A 21061-nucleotide genomic window follows, 5' to 3' on the forward strand; every position below is an offset into this window, starting at 1 on the left:
TTTATTTATGTGAATTAATAATTCATACATGAACAACAAAATATTCAGGATCAATAATTCTTAATTAAAGAAAACTTAGCATAGCTATTTATTCCAACTTGGTGTTTAATTATGAAGTGTAGACCAGGCATGGTGGCTCATGCCTGTAATCACAGCACTTTGGGAGGCCGAGGCGGGCAGATCACGAGGTCAGGAGTTTGAGACCAGCCTGGCCAACATGGTGAAACCCCATCTCTACTAAAAATACAAAAAATTAGCCGGGCGTGGTGGCTCATGCCTGTAATTCCACCTACTCAGGAGGCTGAGGCAGGAGAACTGCTTGAGCCCGGAAGGTGGGGAGGTTGCAGTGAGCCAAGATAGCGCCACTGCACTCCAGGCTGGGTGACAGAGTGAGACTCCGTCTCAAAAAAAAAATTATAAAGTGTACATATTTAATATTTAGAAAAGAAAATAAGCACTACTAGTTCAACAATTGACAAATTTTTTCAAAGATTTGAAAGGCATATGTTGCTTTCTTAACAGACAATATATGATTTAGTAAATACATTTCTCTAAACTAAATAAAGGAATAAAGTGAACGCCAAGGGTAAATTTACATATTAATATAATTAATCCATCTATTTAGTTAGTAATGTCTATATTGATTTCATTCACACCCTTTTTTCCACCCAATATTGGAATAGGAATTTATGTTGGAAGAAATATCTAAAGAACCTACAAGGACAAGAATACTGTTTGTTTGGTTAAATAGATTTGATCAGTTCTTATTTCAAGATTGAAAAAAACTTACAAAGTACCTATTATATGATAGACAATAGAGTGATTTTACATACAAATAATCACATTTGACTCACTCTGTCCAGATAAGGTACGTCCTCCCACTTTTACCATGAGGAAACTGAATTCCTACAAGTTCAAGTGGCTTGACCCAAATCAGCTAAATAACTGGTAAAGCTGGTGTATTAGTCTTTCCTCAGGCTGCTATGGAGAAATACCCAAGACTGGGTAATTTATAAAGGAAGAAGTTTAATTGACTCGCAGTTCTGCGTGGCTAGGGAGGCCTCAGGAAACTTAACAATCATGGCAGAATGCAAAGGAGACGCAGGCACCTTGTTCACAGGGCAGCAGGATGGAGTGAGTGCCAGCAGGGGAAATGCCAGAGGCTTATAAAACCATCAGATATCATGAGACTCACTCACCATCACAAGAACAGCATGGGGGAAACCGCCCCCCGGGATCCAGTTACCTCCACCTGGTCCAGCCCTTTCTCGTGGGGATTCTGGGGATTACAATTCAAAAATGAGATTATGAGATTTTGGGTGGGGCCACAGCCGAACCATATCAGCTGGGATTCACACTTGGGTCAGAAGACTGCAAGCCTGGTTTTCTTTACATTTACCATCTAGTCTCTCTATTCACTAAATTTCTTTCTCCAGCTTTTTCAGCTCTTTACTTACTGTAGCCAAGCCTTTTTCTAAGACCCAGTAGAACAGGACATCAAACCTTTTTGGCACAGGAAGTTTAAGAGAGTTTAGAAAAAGTACAAAAGGAAGAAAATTAGACCCGTGACCTTCACTGAGCCTATTGTTCTCCAAGAGCGCAACCACTGGGGTATCCACACTCTACCACACCTGTAAGTACGATTTGGTTCCAGGGGAGATAGAAGCAGTTACCGAAATCCAGATGAGGGTTAAACCCTTTTACTTTGGGTTTGCCATCCTCCTAGAAAAAGTTTGAAAGATACATGGAAACGTGGTGGGAAGCCCTGGATCTAAAACTAACAATGATACTCATAAAATATGAAGAGGAGGATAAAAGTCTGACTCACATAAGTAGATTATAAGAGAATCAAACAGTATTAGAAAAATTAAAAAAAATGAGAGTAGAGAATTAGAATAGTAAAATGAAGGGACAAAAAGTTTGAACAAATATTTTATACCACTATAATGCATTTATTTGACATAATTACATATACTTTTATTATTAATTTTTCAATGATACACAAAAATATATAGCATATATAGGTTGAAAGTATTTTACAGCAATAAAACCTGAATATCTTTAATATAATTTAGCCCAAACTAAAATAATGAATTCAGAATTATTGTCAAAATAGAATTGATATGAGTAATGTAATAATGTTGACATTAATCAATATAGAATGATGTGAATAATCTTAGTTTGTGTAGAAACACACCTTTTCTCATGTTCTCATTTCTTTTCTCTTTAAGGTTTGACCTCTTGCATAGTCTAGTACACTGAATTTATTAGATCAATAATTTTAACTTGTAATTAATAATCATAATGTTAATTTTATTAAACATTAAAGTGAGCTAAAATATATGTTATACTGAATAACTTTAAAATATGTGCTTTAGGAAAATATTGGCTATGAAATTTATAAAATGAAGATAATCTGGCCGGGCACGGTGGCTCACACCTGTAATCCCAGCACTTTGGGAGGCCAAGGTGGGAAGATCACGAGGTCAGGAGATCGAGACCATCCTGGCTAACACGGTGAAACCCCATCTCTACTAAAAATACAAAAAATTAGCCGGGCGTGGTGGCAGGTGCCTGTAGTCCCAGCTACTCAGGAGGCTGAGGCAGGAGAATGGTGGGAACCCAGGAGGCGGAGCTTGCAGTGAGCCAAGCCATTGCACTCCAGCCTGGGCGACAAAGCGAGACTCCGTCTGAAAAAAAAAAAAAAAAAAAAAAAAAAAAAAGAAGATAATCTATTTTTGCATAAAAAAACGGAGCAGTTCATTTCTCTCTAGGAGGACATAATCAATTTGAACATTGTTAGCAATGGCTAATGTTCTTCAAAATTATTCCATTGCATATTCAACTTCAACTCAACAGGTGGGATATAATTCAAGCAACAGTGAAGGAACAGAGTGGACCTCTTGGCTAGATATAGTTTCAACAATAACATATATGATGCCAGTATTTCCTGAGGATTAATGATCAACTGGAAGAGCTTGTGGTCCTGGGACCATTAACTCCATGTGGTCATTAATTTTGTTGGAAATCCCTTACAAGGACATTTGTAACTTTTACTTCCCCTTTCTTAATAAAATTTTTGGGCAAGATTTTTAAGCAACCTTTTTATTTTTGAAAATGTTATTTTCTTGCCCACTGACTATAAATCTAATCAATAACTCTGATAAGCATTTAAAGCAGATTTATATTTTTGAAACTTCATATGTTATGTGTATTTTGGCACTGTTTCATTTCTTATACCATCACAATAGAAAAGCTGCACTGTTTCTTAATTAATCAAATGGTTCCAAGTACTAAAAGGCAAAATATCTATTTAAATGTCTTGCTATATAGTACGCATTGATCGATACAATTTATAAAAATCTAAGTTACATAATGTAGAATATTTATCTTTAGGGCTGTTTACTATTGATCAAAATTCTGAGGAGTTACCTCTGCTTTAAAAATTTTTATTACTGCTTTTAAGATGTAGGTCAAATTCTAGGTTCTAGAACATAGCTTTGTTTGGAATCTATAAAACATGAGTTTCACCAAAAATATATATATTTTTAGGTAAACACAGGTAACCGTGTCTTAATTTCCTATTACTCATTGCCAGAATGCCCAAGAACATACTAATGTTCTATTATAAATTAAAGTTCTTGACTTTCAGGGGGGAAAGTTATATTATTTTGTAATTATCACCAAAATAACTTAAGAATATTACAATTTTTAAAAAACAGATTCTTTTTTGAAATATTATAAAATTAATCTGTACATGTGCAAAAATAGTAATTATTGCCAACACTAGGAAAATGGAAATGTAATTCATGTATAATCACCACTAGAAAAATATGAAATAAAGTATGGAATTGTGCTTGGTTGTGGTATTTGTATTATAATATGGAACTGACTATGCTATTAGCAAATTTTATATTACATGCGTATACATAATTAACCTTCATCTTTAATTGATATCTATTATTAAAATCGATAGGGAATATAATAAGTAAACCCCTAGGCTGAGACAAGATACAACAAACAGCTAGAAAGACCATGCCAAATTAAGGCACAGTGAATTCCACACTAACTAAAATGAACGTGACATTATAAAAAACGGATGTCACATCTTATTGACAATAAAAGTGCCAAAAGCATGCATATTAGATTAGAGCTCAGCTAATTGGAGGATGTGGGATGTTTGAAGTACAGTAAAAGAAGCAGGCGCTAATCTCTGTCGTGATACGCCACGCCACCACTACTTGAAATTCCGTTGGGCAATATTAATTCTAGCAGAGGTCTGAGCTACTAATAAATGAGGCAAATTGAGTCAATTACTAATTTCATGCTTTTATGATTTGGGGTTTAGCTAGATAATATCTGCAATTTAATACACTGCCCTCTAGAGATCTCGGCCTTTTACAAAGAACATGCTTTCTCAGACCTATTTGCACTGTTCATTTTGTTTCAGTTCCACACTGCCGTGTAGTGGGGGGGAGGGAATCATGCGTCACAGTGTTATTTTCTTTCTTAATGCTCCATGTGCGACTTCCCTTTGATTGAAATCTTCATCAGGGTTTAGAGCTGAATTCCTTGCTTCTAGCAGTATTCACTTGGTCCTATTTCTCTTTTGGGAACAGTAGTCACAAAATATAACTCAAAACCTATGTAGCAATGTATTTTACTGGGATATTGCAAAGGACTTTATGCCATCAATAATTCATGCACTTCTAAAAAATTAGCCTGATCTTCCACGTTTTTAAAAAGGCAGCTTAAAAAAAAGCCAGTGATATTTTATGTTCAAATCAGTAATTTTAAATTTGTTTCTTTAATACCCCCTTTCAAAACGACCCATCAGTTCTCATAGATTTTTTGTACCACCACTGATTACCACACTAATTTGTGGATAAATAAGCATTTCCTTGGGAATAGTTTAAAGTTCTCCAAATAATTAACTTCATTTTGTTTACGAGAATTTTTTTTTGCATGGCAAACACCTAAAAATGAAGTGTATTATTAATATTTTTAAAGTTTAACTCTGTCACGTAAAGATAATGTCAAATTTAAAATTAAGTGATATTAAAATAATCTATAAAGATCATTTGTCATGATATATGCTTTTATTTTTGAAAATTAGACATTTCTTACTGTTAAAATACATGTATATAAGCTAACTTTATTTGGTAATTAAAAGGTAATTACGAGACAAAATAAAATATTATGCAACCAATTTACTGATATGAGCATTACACCATTGTTCATCTTATAACCTGTTAGAAAAGTAGATTTTTAAAATAATCAGTTGATGTACTCATTTTTATTAACCCTAAAGGTAAGGCTTTTTTGCAGTTCCACCAAGGGCCAAATAAAAATATACTGTAAATCATGTCTTCCCAGCTGTGGTTAACCTGATTAGAAAGAGGTCAGTAGGGGAATGGATGGTTGCCAAAAACCCTCTTTGGTCAGGTCTCCACCACCAAAGTGAAGTAGTAAATTGAGAATTGAACAATTAGGTGAATAAGTCAGGCTAAAAAGCACTTTCCAATGAGCTCTATCAATAATTTATATAACTTGTATTGTGGGAGTTTGGGCTGTAATCAAGGTCAGAAATCTAGAAGAGAGTGCTCCTATTTTCTCTATATGTAGAAATGTAGAAGACAGTACTCTTATTTTCTCCATCTGTCAGTCCTTCCTTTGGTTCATCCTCCTTTCATTTCCTTACCTTTTCTTTACCTTTCTCTGAGTTATTTTGATAAGTGTCTTTATTTCCACTTCAATTTGCTGGTGTTGGCCTGACTTTTAATACCACTGTTATTCCCAGTAGATTAATTTTCTTTGTTTCAGTAGAACTGAGACATTAATGCCTCTGATCCTTTGCTCTGAAAACAAAGCCTAAAACAACTTCCTTTCTGAACTGCAGTTTGTGCTTCGAGACATTAAGATCAAGAAGTGAATATGTATTTTCAAAATCGAGTATCAAACTACAGAAGTGTTTACCTCAGCCCTGCCCTGATGCTGCACATTTAAAGACCTACTCCAAAGAGAAGCTTCAAATTGTTCCAATGTGCTATTTAGAAAAATAATTTATATTAAGGTATATAATAAAATATGCTATAAATCACAGTTTGTAGAAGAAACATTTGTCCTGTATTTTCATATGTATTATCTCCCTAAACACCTTCTTAACATGATAATTAAACACTTGCTGAGTATCAATACTTTTGCATTCTTATCTATACTGATCAACAAAATTGGTAGTTTGGTAATAGGGGAAGAAACTCATTTAACATGAAACTGTTAAAATATTAGAAAGGTAAGTTTCATAGAGTAGACAGTAATAGGAAATATTTATGGTGAATGTAATATAAATTTGACATTTGTAAGCACTTTGCATGGGATATTATAGCCACTTACCGATTAGGAAAGTGAGGCTCAGAAAAGCTACATAAACTGATGAATGAAACAGAGCAGACAAGGAATACATTTTGAATCTGTGCAGGCTGATTCTGCTCTTAATCACCCTATTATGGTCTAATGAGCATAAACTATACATAATATGATAATAAAAGTATGTAATTTTCATTTCCCATTATAGTCTCTGTAAGTAGTTTGGGGTGTTTTTTAAACTTCTAAGTTTAAAAAACATTTAAACTTAGAAGACAACATTTGAGATGAAATATTTGTAACTAACCGCCGGGTTCTTAGGATGACATTTGAAAAAAATAAAAAGATAATAGATTATTATGCTAGAGCAACAAAATTTAATTTAAATCATTATACTGTGTTTGGAGAAGGTTTTCTCCTATGTGCTCTAATTTTTCACCCTATTACATTTCCATATTTCAGTAAGACTGGGTATTTATTATAAGAAAACTGATATAAGACTAGAGAGAAATCTGGCAGGATATTTGGGACAAAGCAGTTCAACAAGTTATAATGACAGGTGAAATAAAATTTTCTTATATAGTTTGTCTGTGTGTATGTGTGTGTCCACAGGCCCATACACATGTGGGCATGCATGAACAGGGGCATAGTTGTGTTTCTTTTACACTTAAAAGGTTGATTATTCACTTTTGTTGCTCCTGAATCCTATTATTAGCATTAAACCTAGGGCTTTAATTCATGTTTTAGACCTTGAGATCTAATAGATCTCAGTATGGTAAGATGATTATTTTCCTTTCAAACTCCAGTAACTTGTATTATGAAAGCTATTGAAAAATTATTTTTCTACTCTCTTCTATTCTTTTAAAAATTAAAATAAAATGAAAAACTAAAATGCAGAATTTTAGGGTAGCTATTACAAACTCAGTGGGATTCATCACGATGTATTTTCTTCATCTCTTTCAAAATGACTGTTCTGAAAACCTTAGCTTTTCTTAGCTGGTCTTTCTTCAACTTAACCAGATAGCTTTCCTGCCTACCTATTTCCAGTTAGAACATATGGGCACAGTTACATATTACATATGCAAAATCATTAATAACAAAAACAAAACATATAAAATCACAAAGTTTCTATCATTTAAATTTTTTCATGACTCTAGTTAGGAAATCAACATATTAAAGTTAGTAAATACTAGCTCTACCTAATGTTGACAGTTTTTTAAAAAAACCTTGATATTCAGAATATAATTTGCTGCTATTCACATTACTGAATAACAGCCATTGGAACTGTTACAGTAGATAGCTAGTCAGACATGAGCAGAGCAGGAGAGGGCTCCCTCTGGCCCCCCAACACACGCCAAGAATGTTAGGGACCATCAGGTGATGGTCATGCAGTTGTTAACTATCTCTCTAAAATAGTAATTGGTTGCAGCCAGCGCTAGGGAAAGGAAAGGCAGTCTCCCCATATATAGGAAAAACCTGAAACTGGTGATCAGCAGCTTCCTGATGAGATCTCAGGAGTTGGGTGAATGGGCTCAAGCATGCATATCAAGAGGCAAAACGGTGAGTTTAACTGGTATGTGACCTTCTAGGGACATTCGGCTGGTAAGGGAAGAATATCTCAAGTGAGCATGCATACAGCTCCAGTAAACACACTGAACAGGCTCCCCTCCCAAGTGCTGGCGGGCCAAGCAGGCAGCCCACCCCAACGGAAGAATTAGGGGAGAAGGGTAGCAAGACCCCAGAAGCATGCCAACTTGTAAAACCCAGGTCAGAAGGTCAAACTGGTCACTTGTCTTTCAAGTTGCCCACTTGGCCCTCTTCCAAGTGTACTTAACTTTCTTTTCATTCTGGCTGTAAAGCTTTTTAGTAAACTTTCACGACGGCTCTAAAACTTGACCTGGTCTCTTCTGCCTTATGCTGCTCAGTAAAATTCTCTCTTCTGAGGAGGGAAGAATTGAGCTTGCTGCAGACATGTATGCAGACCCTTATGGATTCGCCACTGGTAAAAAATACTTAGTTATTTTTACCTATAGGTGATGATGGCTAAAGAGTTAAGTCAAACTATTGTGTAATATGCTGTATTGCAACATTCTAAACTACTAAATTATGAGTAATTCACCTAAATGCAATATCATCGCACAGTATGCATTGTTTTCTAGTTTTCACTTTCTGTGTGTAGTCTGAAGTCATTAATACCAATTACAATGAAATGTTGCTCATATATCTACAACCACTATCAGCTCAGATCTCTGTGCTTGTGCAAGGGAGTTGTATAAGTCATGGTTCCACAACGCTGTTGTGTGTTGTTTTGCTTTTTATCACGGGATTCATTAAGTTTTGAGGACTTTCATTACGTTTTGAAGAGATAATAAGTTGATAATTCAAAGAAAAAGTATTCTTTACCATAGAAAATCTAGATAAAGCCCTAATGTTAGATTAACATATTATGCTTTTGATGTGTTGTGCATAGCATGAATATCCTGACATTTATTGATTTGCAATAAGAAACCAAGTGAATACATTGTTAGTGGGAGTAGAAAGGCTTCAACTATCAGAGAAAATAGAGTGTGGCAGAGTTCAAAAACCTCTGAATTTGTGTTTTGCATTCCAGTAAGGCTATTGACCCCAGCTTGGAGGACATATATCCTCAAATGCAGGGTTATCTGAAAAGCCTTTAATCAGATAGTCACTCTGGTATACATATGGGACACTGTAGAAATGTAAAGGAGCTGCCCCTTATAAATTTCTATGACCAAATAGAACTTCTAGTTCTTCAGTGTGGATGCTTGCTTTTGTTCTGAATGTGAAATGTATGCCACCCAGAACATAGACCTTGTTCCAAGAAAATTTACTATCCTGTAGTATAAGCATAACACATTGTTAGAAAAAGAGTCCTTTCTAACAGAGTTACCAAAGAACTATTTATTGTACACTAAAACTAAGTCAGAAAAGGGCAGATAACTGGAGAAAACATGAGACTCATGGCAGCAGTGTGTTTTCATTCTTAGGACATATATCTCCAAATACCCTTGCATTTCCTATCAACCATTCTATAGAAGCTATCTATATCCATGTATTACTATATATATATATATATATATATATATATATATATATATATATAAATTTAGCTTTTGTAAAAAAAAAGTATATGCATATTTAAAGCTCTACTCTTCTAAGTGACAGTTACACATCAGTTACCATTACTGAAATACATCTCTAAAGAAGACTTAATGCCACCCTGGTAAAAATAGCAGTGGGTTATTGAAGATCGCACATTCTGAGTTCTCACTCCGTAATTTCGTGAGAAAAAAAATCATGCACTTGGACCAATTTTTCATGGGAGAGAATTATATGAAATGTTGGCATAACGTCAATTTTTTCCTAAAAATAAGAATTTTTTTTTTCTATATGAAGGGCCTGATGTCCCTGTTGCTGAACAGAAATCTATCTTCCCCTGCCATAGGTAGCATCTGAGTCACAAGAAATGGTATAGCTTGAGGTCTAGTCTTTCAGTTTTTGAGACCCATTTTCTACCACAGTCATTCTAAAACATAAAAAGTCAAAGTTTTACTTTTTTAATTTTTTTTGAGATGGAGTCTCACTCTGTCATCCAGGCTGCAGTGCAGTGGCAAAATCCTGGCTCACTGCAGCCTCCACCTGCCGGGTTCAAGTGATTCTCCTGCCTCAGCCTTCTGAATAACTGGGATTACAGGCACTCACCATCGCGCCTGGACAATTTTTGTGTTTTTAGTAGAGATGATGTTTCACCATGTTTGCCAGGCTGGTCTCAAACTCCTGACCTCAAGTGAGCCACCTGCCTCAGCCTCCCAAAGTGCTGGGATAACAGGCATGAGCCACTGTGCCCAGCCTAAAATCTCGAAAGTTTTTAAGCTAGAAGAAAAAAAGTTTCAAGAAAAATAAAAGCATCCTTGATTTCAAAGCTTCTGACTTACAGTCAATCTCCTGTTGATCAATTTTTGTCTCATCTTCTAAGAAGAGTTACTAGTAACATTTGAGTCTATTATTGTTTAAAAAATAATAAAATGTAAACATCACTCTTAGCAACTCTTGTCTTGAAAAGTGAAGGAATAAAGAGTTTGTGAAATTCAAATGTATCTTAGAGGAAATGATCCCCAAAGTCACATACAAATTATTCAAAATAAATCTTTGTTTGTTCTAGATCACTATCCCCAAAATGTCTTCATTCATATCATAATTTTTTAATATTATTTTGATATAGTGCTTGAAATTCTTCCAAGTAAAGATTGGTTTGGTTAATGGCCTCCTTTAAAAAAACAAATGCAGGTATCTCCCTTGAATCTTGTTAAAAGGCTTTCAGTCACTCATAGGTAAGTGTGAATTGTTTAGTTAGCGTGTTTCCATCCTAACGGCTCTACTCAAACAGGAAGAAGAAAAGGAAAGTTACATACCATACTTTGATGGGAAGGGGTCCTGAGACTTCTTTAGTCCTTAAAATAAGGGACCAAATATGAGAAAACATGAGACCCATGGGAGTTATGTGTTTTCAGTCTTAGGATATTTATCTCCAAATACCCATGCATTTCCTGTCAACCATTCTATAGAAACTATCTATACCCATGTAGTACTATATATTTTTTTAACTTTAGCTTTTGTAAAAAAAAAAAACAAAACATTGTAAGAATAGTTAAAGCTCTACTCTTCTAAATGACAGCTACACATCAGTTACCATTACTGAAATATGTCTCTGAAGAAGACTTAATGCCACCCTGGTAAAAATAGCAGTGGGTTATTGAGGATCACACATTCTGAGTTCTCACTCCGTAATTTGGTGAGAAAAAAAACAAAGATGTGCTTTTTTTGTTTTTTTTTTTTGTTGTTTTAAAGCTGGTAAATGAGTGCACAAGGCTATCTGCATATATTGTTAAATGTTAGCTTTGAACAACCCTGTTCAAGAAAAGGAGAAAATATCTTTCACTTGCTGTGCCATGTATCCAACAACAATCAAAACTAGGAATTTAGACTTGTTCCATTAGTAACATACTTTAGCTACATTAATGATCACATAGGACTTTGTGTACTGGCTTGTGAACTTGATTATTTCTAATGCTGTTTCTACGGGAAAGCACATGTTGAGTCCTCACATACAAACTTTAAACTTTTTACTGCATTGGGAAAGTTGGAAACTGCTTTTATTGGTTACTCTTTTCTTTGCTAATTATAAGTGATTTACTCTGAAATGATTGCAATGAGCAAACAGAATAACAACAGTGTAATAATAATAAAACATTTGTCTTCTAATTTTCTCTGAAATCATAATCAGAAGAATGGTTAATGACTGATTCAGGATAGCAAGTAAGAAATTCTTATTTGTTTTTTTAGCAAATCTTTACTGAAGGCATATTATGCTCCAGATAGTGTGCAAAGCTCTATATACACAGTGCTTAAAAATAGGTGGACAAGATACCTGTTCTTGGAGAAATTACAGTTTTGTGAAATTATATCTTGAGTTCTCCTGGAAAAATGTATGTTAATATTTTGGGCTTACCCTTCCATAAACCACAGATGTGCTAGAATCTTCTGCATTTCACCAACAACTAAATGAAATGTTACAAGAAGCAATATAATAAAAACATATCAAAGTTGGAAAAACCTTATGTTAATATTGTTACTTTTTTCATTAATTTGGAATTAGGAATAATTTGAGCATAGATTTACTTTTTTTTTTCTTTTTTATTATACTTTAAGTTCTAGGGTACATGTGCACAACGTGCAGGTTTGTTACATAGGTATACATGTCCCATGCTGGTTTGCTGCACCCATCAACTTATTATTTACATTAGGTATTTCTCCTAATGCTATCCCTCCCCAAGACCCCCCACCCCCAACAGGCCCCAGTGTGTGATGTCCCCCTTCCTGTGTCCAAGTGTTCTCATTGTTCAATTCCCACCTATGAGTGAGAATATGCGGTGTTTGGTTTTCTGTCTTTGTGATAGTTTGCTGAGAATGATGGTTTCCAGCTTCATCCATGACCCTACAAAGGACATTAACTCATCCTTTTTTATGGCTGCATAGTATTCCATGGTGTATATGTGCCACAATTTTCTTAATCCAGTCTATCATTGATGGACATTTGGGTGGGTTCCAAGTCTTTGCTATTGTGAATAGTGCTGCAATAAACATACGCGTGCATGTGTCTTTACAGCAGCATGTTTTATAATCCTTTGAGTATATACCCAGTAATGGGATGGCTGGGTCAAATGGTATTTCTAGTTCTAGATCACTGAGGAATCGCCACACTGACTTCCACAATGGTTGAACTAGTTTACAGTCCCACCAACAGTGTAAAAGTGTTCCTATTTCTCCACATCCTCTCCAGCACCTGTTGTTTCCTGACTTTTTAATGATCACCATTCTAACTGGTATGAGATGGTATCTCATTGTGGTTTTGATTTGTATTTCTCTGATGGCCAGTGATGATGAGCATTTTTTCATGTGTCTTTTGGCTGCATAAATGTCTTCTTTTGAGAAGTGTCTGTTCATATCGTTTGCCCACTTTTTGATGGGGTTGTTTGTTTTTTTCTTGTAAATTTGTTTGAGTGCATTGTAGATTCTGGGTATTAGCCCTTTGTCAGATGAGTAGATTGCAAACATTTTCTCCCATTCTGTAGGTTGCCTGTTCACTCTGATGGTAGTTTCTTTTGCTGTGCAGAAGCTCTTTAGTTTAATTAGATCCCATCTGTCAATTTTGGCTTTTGTTGCCATTGCTTTTGGTGTTTTAGACATGAAGTCCTTGCCCATGCCTATGTCCTGAATGGTATTGCCTAGGTTTTCTTTTAGGGATTTTATGGTTTTAGGTCTAACATTTAAGTCTTTAATCCATCTTGAATTAATTTTTGTATAAGGTGTAAGGAAGGGATCCAGTTTCAGCTTTCTACATATGGCTAGCCAGTTTTCCCAGCACCATTTATTAAATAGGGAATCCTTTCCCCATTTCTTGTTTTTGTCAGGTGTGTCAAAGATCAGATAGTTGTAGACATGTGGCATTATTTCTGAGGGCTCTGTTCTGTCCCATTGGTCTATATCTCTGTTTTGGTACCAGTACCATGCTGTTTTGGTTACTGTAGCCTTGTAGTATTGTTTGAAGTCAGGTAGCTTGATGCCTCCAGCTTTGTTCTTTTGGCTTAGGACTGACTTGGCAATGTGGGCTCTTTTTTGGTTCCATATGAACTTTAAAGTAGTTTTTTCCAATTCTGTGATGAAAGTCATTGGTAGCTTGATGGGGATGGCATTGAATCTATAAATTACCTTGGACGGTATGGCTATTTTCATGGTATTGATTCTTCCTACCCCTGAGCATGGAATGTTCTTCCATTTGTTTGTATCCTCTTTTTTTCATTGAGCAGTGGTTTTGTCCCATCAGCCATTTTAAATTCAAACTGAACTTCTTTTAATGTCCAGTACATTCTTACCAAGTCGAGTACATTCTTACCAAGTATTTTCATTCTAAACTATGGTGGATTTTGAAAGAGAGTTTAACAAAGTAAACTAGTCCTTCCTTAGTTTATTCTACTAATTGTGCAAAATTATTCTATTTTGGTGGCTTCTGGGTCTGATGTTACTGCATGATTAAGTAAAGCATTGCTGACAGTGTCCCCTATCATTATTAACTGATACACAATCTAATATGTGTCTGCCAGTTTGTCTGCCCCAGTATTACAGATCTGCTTATTGTCTTCTTGTGTATAAGTTAATGAGATGAGTAAAAAGAAGTATTAAGACATAATTAGTGTGTGCTAGATATTTAATTTGTATCCCTTCTTCTGCTTATTCTGAGATAAATTATTTCAGTATTTTAAAATCCCATAGTTATATGCTACTCCATATTTTACAGAAAGTTTTGTTTTAGGTAGTATTAAATAGAAATAATTGTTTTTGTTTTTAGTATGCATGAAAAACACAAATCACAACATTTTAATCTATATTGCTCACTTTAATCAATACTTTTTATATATGTGACCATATGTGTTAAAGCATTTTAAATTGATCTGATAGTAGATGGATATTTGATCTGATAGTAGATGGATAATGTTATACCTTACAATGAATTTCTATTTCTCCTATTATTATATTTCTCCTGTTGAGTGATAGTGCTTATTGAACAGTATAATATGTGAAGTCAGTTGTGGGGTCTAATGTTCTTTTACATTTTTATCAATGACTCTGCTCACTAATTGACAGCATGATCCTTCCGTATGATGCTAAATTAGAAGAGTTCCCTAATATCTTCGAACACATGGGCAAAGTCTGAAATGGTTTTCAAAGATTAGAGAAGAGTTTTATGAAAGCAATGTAATTATTGTGTTACAAGTGAAAAGAAATACCAATAGTGTAAAAAGTAAGAGAAAGACCAGATCAAGAGTGACATGAGAGAGAAGATCGTATAAGTTGAGCTTCTGATGTCTCAGTTTTACATAATGTATCCTCACTGGGCATATCACTTAGTTTTTGCTGCATAAGTATTGACAACAAAACAAAACGATTTTATTTTGCTTACGAAGCTGTGGATCTGCAGTTTGGTTGTTCTGATCTAGGCAGGGCTTGCTGTTGTATTGCAGCAGTTGCCATGTCAGCTGGGAAATGGCCCAAAATGACCTCAGAGGGAGGGCTTAGCTCAGCCCCATATGCTTTCCCATCATCTAGGAAACTAGCCAGAGCTTGTTCACATTTTGGTGCAGGATTCCAACAGGGAGCACAAAAGAACATAAATCCTCTTGAGTCATGGGCTCAGAACAGTTCAACATCACTTGCACTGTATTCTATTGGCCAAAGCAAGCCACAAGACCAGCTCAGAATCCAGGGTGGAGAGAATCTATCTCTTCATGGAAGATTCTACAATGTTCTGTGGTCAGTTTTACAACCTGACACAGTACATAGTTATTATACTGGCCTACATATTAGGGAGCATTGATTGTTGCTTACTTTTGGAGGACAAATTGATTGATACTTGCGTTCATCTATTATAATAGATAATGGAGATAAGGACATATCACAGATACTGAAGATGAGAAGAACATTGAAAAGAAAATAAAAGCTAGATTGTGTAAAACATTAACCCAAGAAAGAGAGGGAGAAAGAGAGAAGTTGAAAGTACTTTCAAGAAATATGGACCAAAAATTTAAAGACAAAGGTCCTAGTCTCAGGTCATATTCACAATGTTTAACATACATACTTTATAGAATTTCAAGAAACTTCCACATACATTTAATCCTTACATGACAAAAATAACATACATGTAATACTCATAATAGTAAGACAAATATTATTACTCAACAATTTATAGCTATGGAAACTGAGGCTCATAACATACCGTGTGTAATAGTTACTTTAAACAAAATGGTATTTCCTTTTAGGGAAAAAGTTATACAGGTAATTGAGTACAAAAACCCTTCACATCGTGATATTCTCAAGTGAGTGCACAACTAGCCTATGACTAATTTTCACGCCTGGGGGAATTTGGTGATTGATGAAGCCTATGTGCTGGCAATTCTCTGGAAAGGTTGAATTAAGTCCACCTTCTCACACACACTGCAGACAGGCTTGCCAAGTATATTGAGGGTGTAAGCCTGATCATAGGAAACATTTTTATTTGCTTAGTAAAACACTTTTTAATGGATCTTAATATTCATATCTACTTACTGAAGCAGACCCAGCAAGGCTTCAACTTAGAAGTATTTAATTAACTATAGCTCAAATTAATATTTATATACAAAATCAATGAAACTACATTAATGTTCATACTGGCTTTCTCCCAAATTAGTCCAAATCCACAGGTCTTCTGTGCTGTGTATTCAGGCTTTCTGCTTGGAGTGATGATGTGCTTACAGAATACATTTTCAATTATCTACTGAGAGAAGAGAAGTTTTCCTTTTTTTTTTAACTGTAAAATGAGTAATGATCTTGAACACCTATTAATAAGTAAATAGATTGTGGAATGAACTCTTGTTTCTTTACTCAGACTCAGGATTAGTACTGTCACCTACAGCCTGGGTGGTTTAGAATCTGACCATAAGTAAGAGAGGGCACTCAAGGTTATTACGAAATAAAAGCGATAACCCCCTTGTAGATAGGTAACTGGGGTTACCTATAAATCCCTTACTCCAGATAATAGTTTTCTTTACCTTGAAGAGAAAAATATCCAACATGCCTGCTGTTATTTACACTGTTTTTTGAACCTATGTCTTTACAACAGAACAGAGTCAAATTCTTTTGGTGTAGGACTCCTTGTTAAAATAACATTACACAGTTTAGAAATGTCAATCATGTTTTATCCCCTGGAGAAACTGTATTCCAGCTAATGGTATTCATTCTAGTCATAATTACAGAAATTTCAGTTCTTGACTAAATACAGAAAAGACCCACAATTTAGCAAGAAATGTGTGTCAAGACTGATAACATGCATGAGGAAGGAGACCTTGGGGTTTGTATAAAATACATTTTTCAAGAGTTGTATGCTTTCTGCCACTGTTGAGGCTCCTAAGGCAGGCCTTATTCCGCCGTGCTGATTTTCATCTTTGTAAGTAGGTACTTTCCAATTTAGTATAGAAACATATATACCTTTGTGTTCTTTGTCTGTTTCATGTGTTGTTTTTCTTAAAAATTGGTAAAGTTGAAGATATGGATAAATTTTCATTGCTTTTGTATCCTCCTGCAACTAGCACAATACATGATATATAGCAGGTGTTCACCACATGCTTCCTGGTAAATTTCTGGCTCTCTGCACTCTTTTGCTCCCAACATTTCCAGAGTTATTTTGTTCCTCCTTTATATTACACTTCAACCTGAGTCGAGATGACCTGATTAATGTCCAGAGAGAAAAGGAAAAAAGAACCAGGTCCTGATTTTGGCCAAAAATACTCCCCAAGACCTATAAGAACATTCCCCTTGGAAATAGACCACTGAGGAAGTTATTTCGCTCATGTGCTGTGATGAGATGTACATGGACTCTATAAACCTGAGTGATTCCCGTATATCTGCACATATACCTGGTAGGTCAGTGAAGGTCTTTGGGTCCTATAAGAATCATTAAAACAGCAAATATTAACTGCTAAGCACCCAATAGATCCACACCCTGCCTCCAGAGCTTCCCCTTTGCCAGCCTCTCAGTCTGGATGCTTCTCCCTCAGTTTATCTCCTTATTCAAGGCCCTGCATCTCCTGTTAAGTTCCAACTAGTCTAAGCATCTGCTACTTATTTCAGGCAGAGTGGTTATTCCTTCTTCTGAACTTTCTCAATATTTATGTTTACAAACACCCATTAGAAACTTATTTATAGGTAGCTGGCATTTTCATGACTTTTTTTCTAAGCATGGCTTCTTCAAATGTCTTAAAAATCCCTGAAGACAGAGATAGTGTCTTACATGTCTTTGTGTGCAAAGTTCCTAAGACAGAGCTTTGAATCTAGCAAGTACTTGGTAAACATTTTGAATGATAATACCTATTGAAGAAAGTTATTTTGAATATAAGAAAGTGGAATGGGGGTAGAAATGCATATATAAACTGATAGTAAAAGAAATAAATAAAAAATACCTTTCACATCTAAAGTGCTTTTTAGTTTAACAGTGTGTTCACAGATGCTACCTCATTTGTTACACACATTTATAAAATCTGAATAATAAAATGCTTTAGATACAGAGGTAATTTCCAAAACATGACATGACATGCTATGAGTCTTAACGCATCCAGTTTAGCACCATATATTTAAGAGCCACGGTGACGTTTTTCAAGTTTACCCAACAGCCATCATTTGCGTGCCTGCTAAATTTCTAGATACAAGCACCAACTCTAAAACGGTGAATGTTGGTTTCACCTAAGAACAAAGAAGCAACAGTATAGTTCCACTTCTTTCTCCCTCTAAAATTATGTTGCATAAATGAAATCTGATACCGTACTTTGAGGAAAATAGGGCAGGAACAGAGCTATTACTTTAAAGCAGACGCATTTTCAAGGAGAAATCCAAATTGGAATGTCAGCTAATGCCAGTAGTATCAGAGTTTTGGCTGCAAAACCATCAGTTTACGGACTTATTAACAGTTCATAAAATGTGTGGCATTCTTCTGGTTCTTGTCACTGGTCAACATATGCTCTAAATTTACAACAGACTGAAACACAATTTCATCGGTATTAAAAATAGTTGTGAGTATCACAATAGAAATATCACAAACCACAGCAGAAATATGATGCTTATTCAAAGAACAGCAGATCTTTTCACATATGGTCAGTGATGGACAACTCTGCCAACACATGAACAGGGGGGTTTGAGAGGGGATTTTGAAGGGGGATTTCTAAATGATGAAAATTGTAACTTCTCCATTTCATAAACATCATCCTGTTTCAAATCTATGATTCTTCTAGACTAGAATTCCAAATGGGCTAATGGTGCCAAGATTCTCTATGTGTGGGCAAGCTCTTCCTCATAATATCAAACTCAAACAGTAATGACATCATGAACATCCTTCTAATCCTTAATAAGCTAACAATTCTAGAACTATACATGAAGTTGTTCTTTTATTTTTGCTCCAAAAAACTTTCTGCTTAATATATTATGTTGCCCATGTGTGTGACCATCTGCTTAGAATGTGAGCTGATCAATGTGAAGGATCCTATCTTCTTTTATGTGTTTCCTCACTATTCACTGATTTTCACAAGGCACCTAGCAAAATAACTAGCCCAAATCAGGAATTAATGAGTAATTTTTAAATAAAAGCATTTTTAAGTTTACTATATTATTGGAGAGAGTATGGTAATATACTTGTAGAAATGTGTGTGAATCTTGTATTACTAATTATCATGCATGAATTTACCTTTTAAAATAAATTTAACCTTTCAGTCACATTAACATTTATAGTACTAAATTTATGAGTGTTCAAATTAATAATTTATTTGTCCCTAGATTATCTCTTTCATGTTCCAGAAATGGCCCTTATAGCCTATATTATGGGACTTGATGACAAATTAATTCTAAATTTATTAATGTTATTAGTGTATATCTTAACTTATACACCACATAAAATGTTTCTTTCTCTAAAAATTTATAATGCTTATATATATTCAAAATTTAAATCTTAAGGATGACTCTGGCTATATTTAAGGGTGTGACTTATATTGATAATACATTATTTTGTATTAAAATATTCTTCATATTTTATCATGATCTATTTTATAATCACAGATCATTTGATATTATAAAATTAATACTTTAGTAAAGTAGCTTAAAAGTATTCAAAAATCCAATAACTATTAGAATAAAAACATAGTCATGATTCTACTTATAGTTTAGTATTAAAAAGTGACATCTTTAGTTCCTAAGAAGCTCTAATACACAAATATAATAATTCATTTAAGCTTTGAAATTTTTAATCTTGTCTAAACACTGGCAAATAATTTCAATTTGGATTTTAGTCTTCAATGATATCTTTTTGTCTCAGTCTCTAAATCTCACCCGTAGATAATTATTAATTTAATTGTGGTTTATGTTACCTTTTTATGTTTTCCTTTTTGATCTGGCACACCCATGAAAGTCAGGGAAATAATACAATAATATTTACTTAGTCTATGTTCAGAATACATATTAAAGAAAGAGGCAAATACCTACTCAAACATTCATGTATAATGACAACATCAAAGCATTCTGATGACTGACCATATGTCTAGAAATACACTGTAATTAAGGCAGATCAGAAATCTCCCTAAGTCTTTCATAGTTTAACCACAAGGAAAAATAAAAGGAGAAAGCAAGCTATCTCTTGAGCGTTTTGATTATATTATTCTCTAGTTTTTATCTCTATACAGTTTCTAATATTTTTCTATACACATTTGTGAATATAGTCAATGCATAATAAATATTCTTTGTTATGTAGCACCTTTGTAGTTCCTTAAACTACTTGGAAGCAATAACCTTCATGAAATAAGAATCAGCACATTACTTTACAGTTCTGAAAGCATACTTGATAATTACTGTCCCTATAGCTGCAGAAAATATGGGAGCAAGACACCTCCATATCCAGGAAGAATTCAGAATAGGCAATAAGATAGGAAATTTCTTTCAGAGGAATACTTTAGTGATATTACCTAGCTCATAGTGCTGTGAGGCTAAAGAAGATAGTACATATAAACTGGTTTGAAAAGTGTGTTGTACATACTCAGTGCTCAACACAAGAACAATTATAATCACCATTAGTCTTTGTTTTTTTCCCATGCCTTTCTTCACGGCCACTTCTCTACTCAGTTTAGACTGACTGCAGGGTAGACTTTCCAGACATGGAGAATTTTTTCTTTGTTCGTTTGTTTTTTGAGACAGAGTCTCACTCTGTCACTCAGGCTGGAGGGCAATGGTGCGATATCGGCTCACTGCAAGCTCCGCCTCCTGGGTTCAAGCGATTCTCCTACCTCAGCCTCCCATTGCAAGCGCCTGCCACCACACCCGGCTAATTTTTGTATTTTTAGTAGAGACAGAGTTTTGCCATGTTGACCAGGCTGGTCTCGAACTCCTGACGTCAGGTGATCCACCTGACTCGGCCAAGTTCTGGGATTACTGGTGTGAGCCACCACGCCCAGCCGACATGGAGGTTCTTTAATCAGATCCAGTGAATATTTTCTGGAAAAGTTGTGAGATGCATGTTTTCTCTCTCTGCCTGGGATTTATCTAGTTGGATGCT

General features: G+C 35.0%; 1 protein-coding gene across 29 annotated transcripts in view, besides 2 other annotated features; it reads left to right on the top strand.

Moving 5' to 3' along the window:
* The window catches only part of ROBO2 (roundabout guidance receptor 2), a 1743290-nt gene that overhangs the window by 1076208 nt on the left and 646021 nt on the right, over nt 1-21061 (top strand). The window lies entirely within an intron of this gene.
* Nucleotides 5323-5523: a silencer, noted in NCBI's record as "peak4717 fragment used in MPRA reporter construct". NCBI's record gives its function as "represses an SCP1 promoter by STARR-seq MPRAs in K562 erythroleukemia cells {active_cell/tissue: K562}" and the evidence as "EXISTENCE:reporter gene assay evidence [ECO:0000049][PMID:32103011]".
* Nucleotides 7616-8117: an enhancer, noted in NCBI's record as "OCT4-NANOG hESC enhancer chr3:77039649-77040150 (GRCh37/hg19 assembly coordinates)". NCBI's record gives its function as "activates a minimal SCP1, AML or CMV promoter by ChIP-STARR-seq in naive H9 embryonic stem cells {active_cell/tissue: H9 hESC(naive)}" and the evidence as "EXISTENCE:reporter gene assay evidence [ECO:0000049][PMID:30033119]".

Source organism: Homo sapiens, chromosome 3 (genome assembly GCF_000001405.40).
Source record: "Homo sapiens chromosome 3, GRCh38.p14 Primary Assembly".
NCBI lineage: Eukaryota > Metazoa > Chordata > Mammalia > Primates > Hominidae > Homo > Homo sapiens.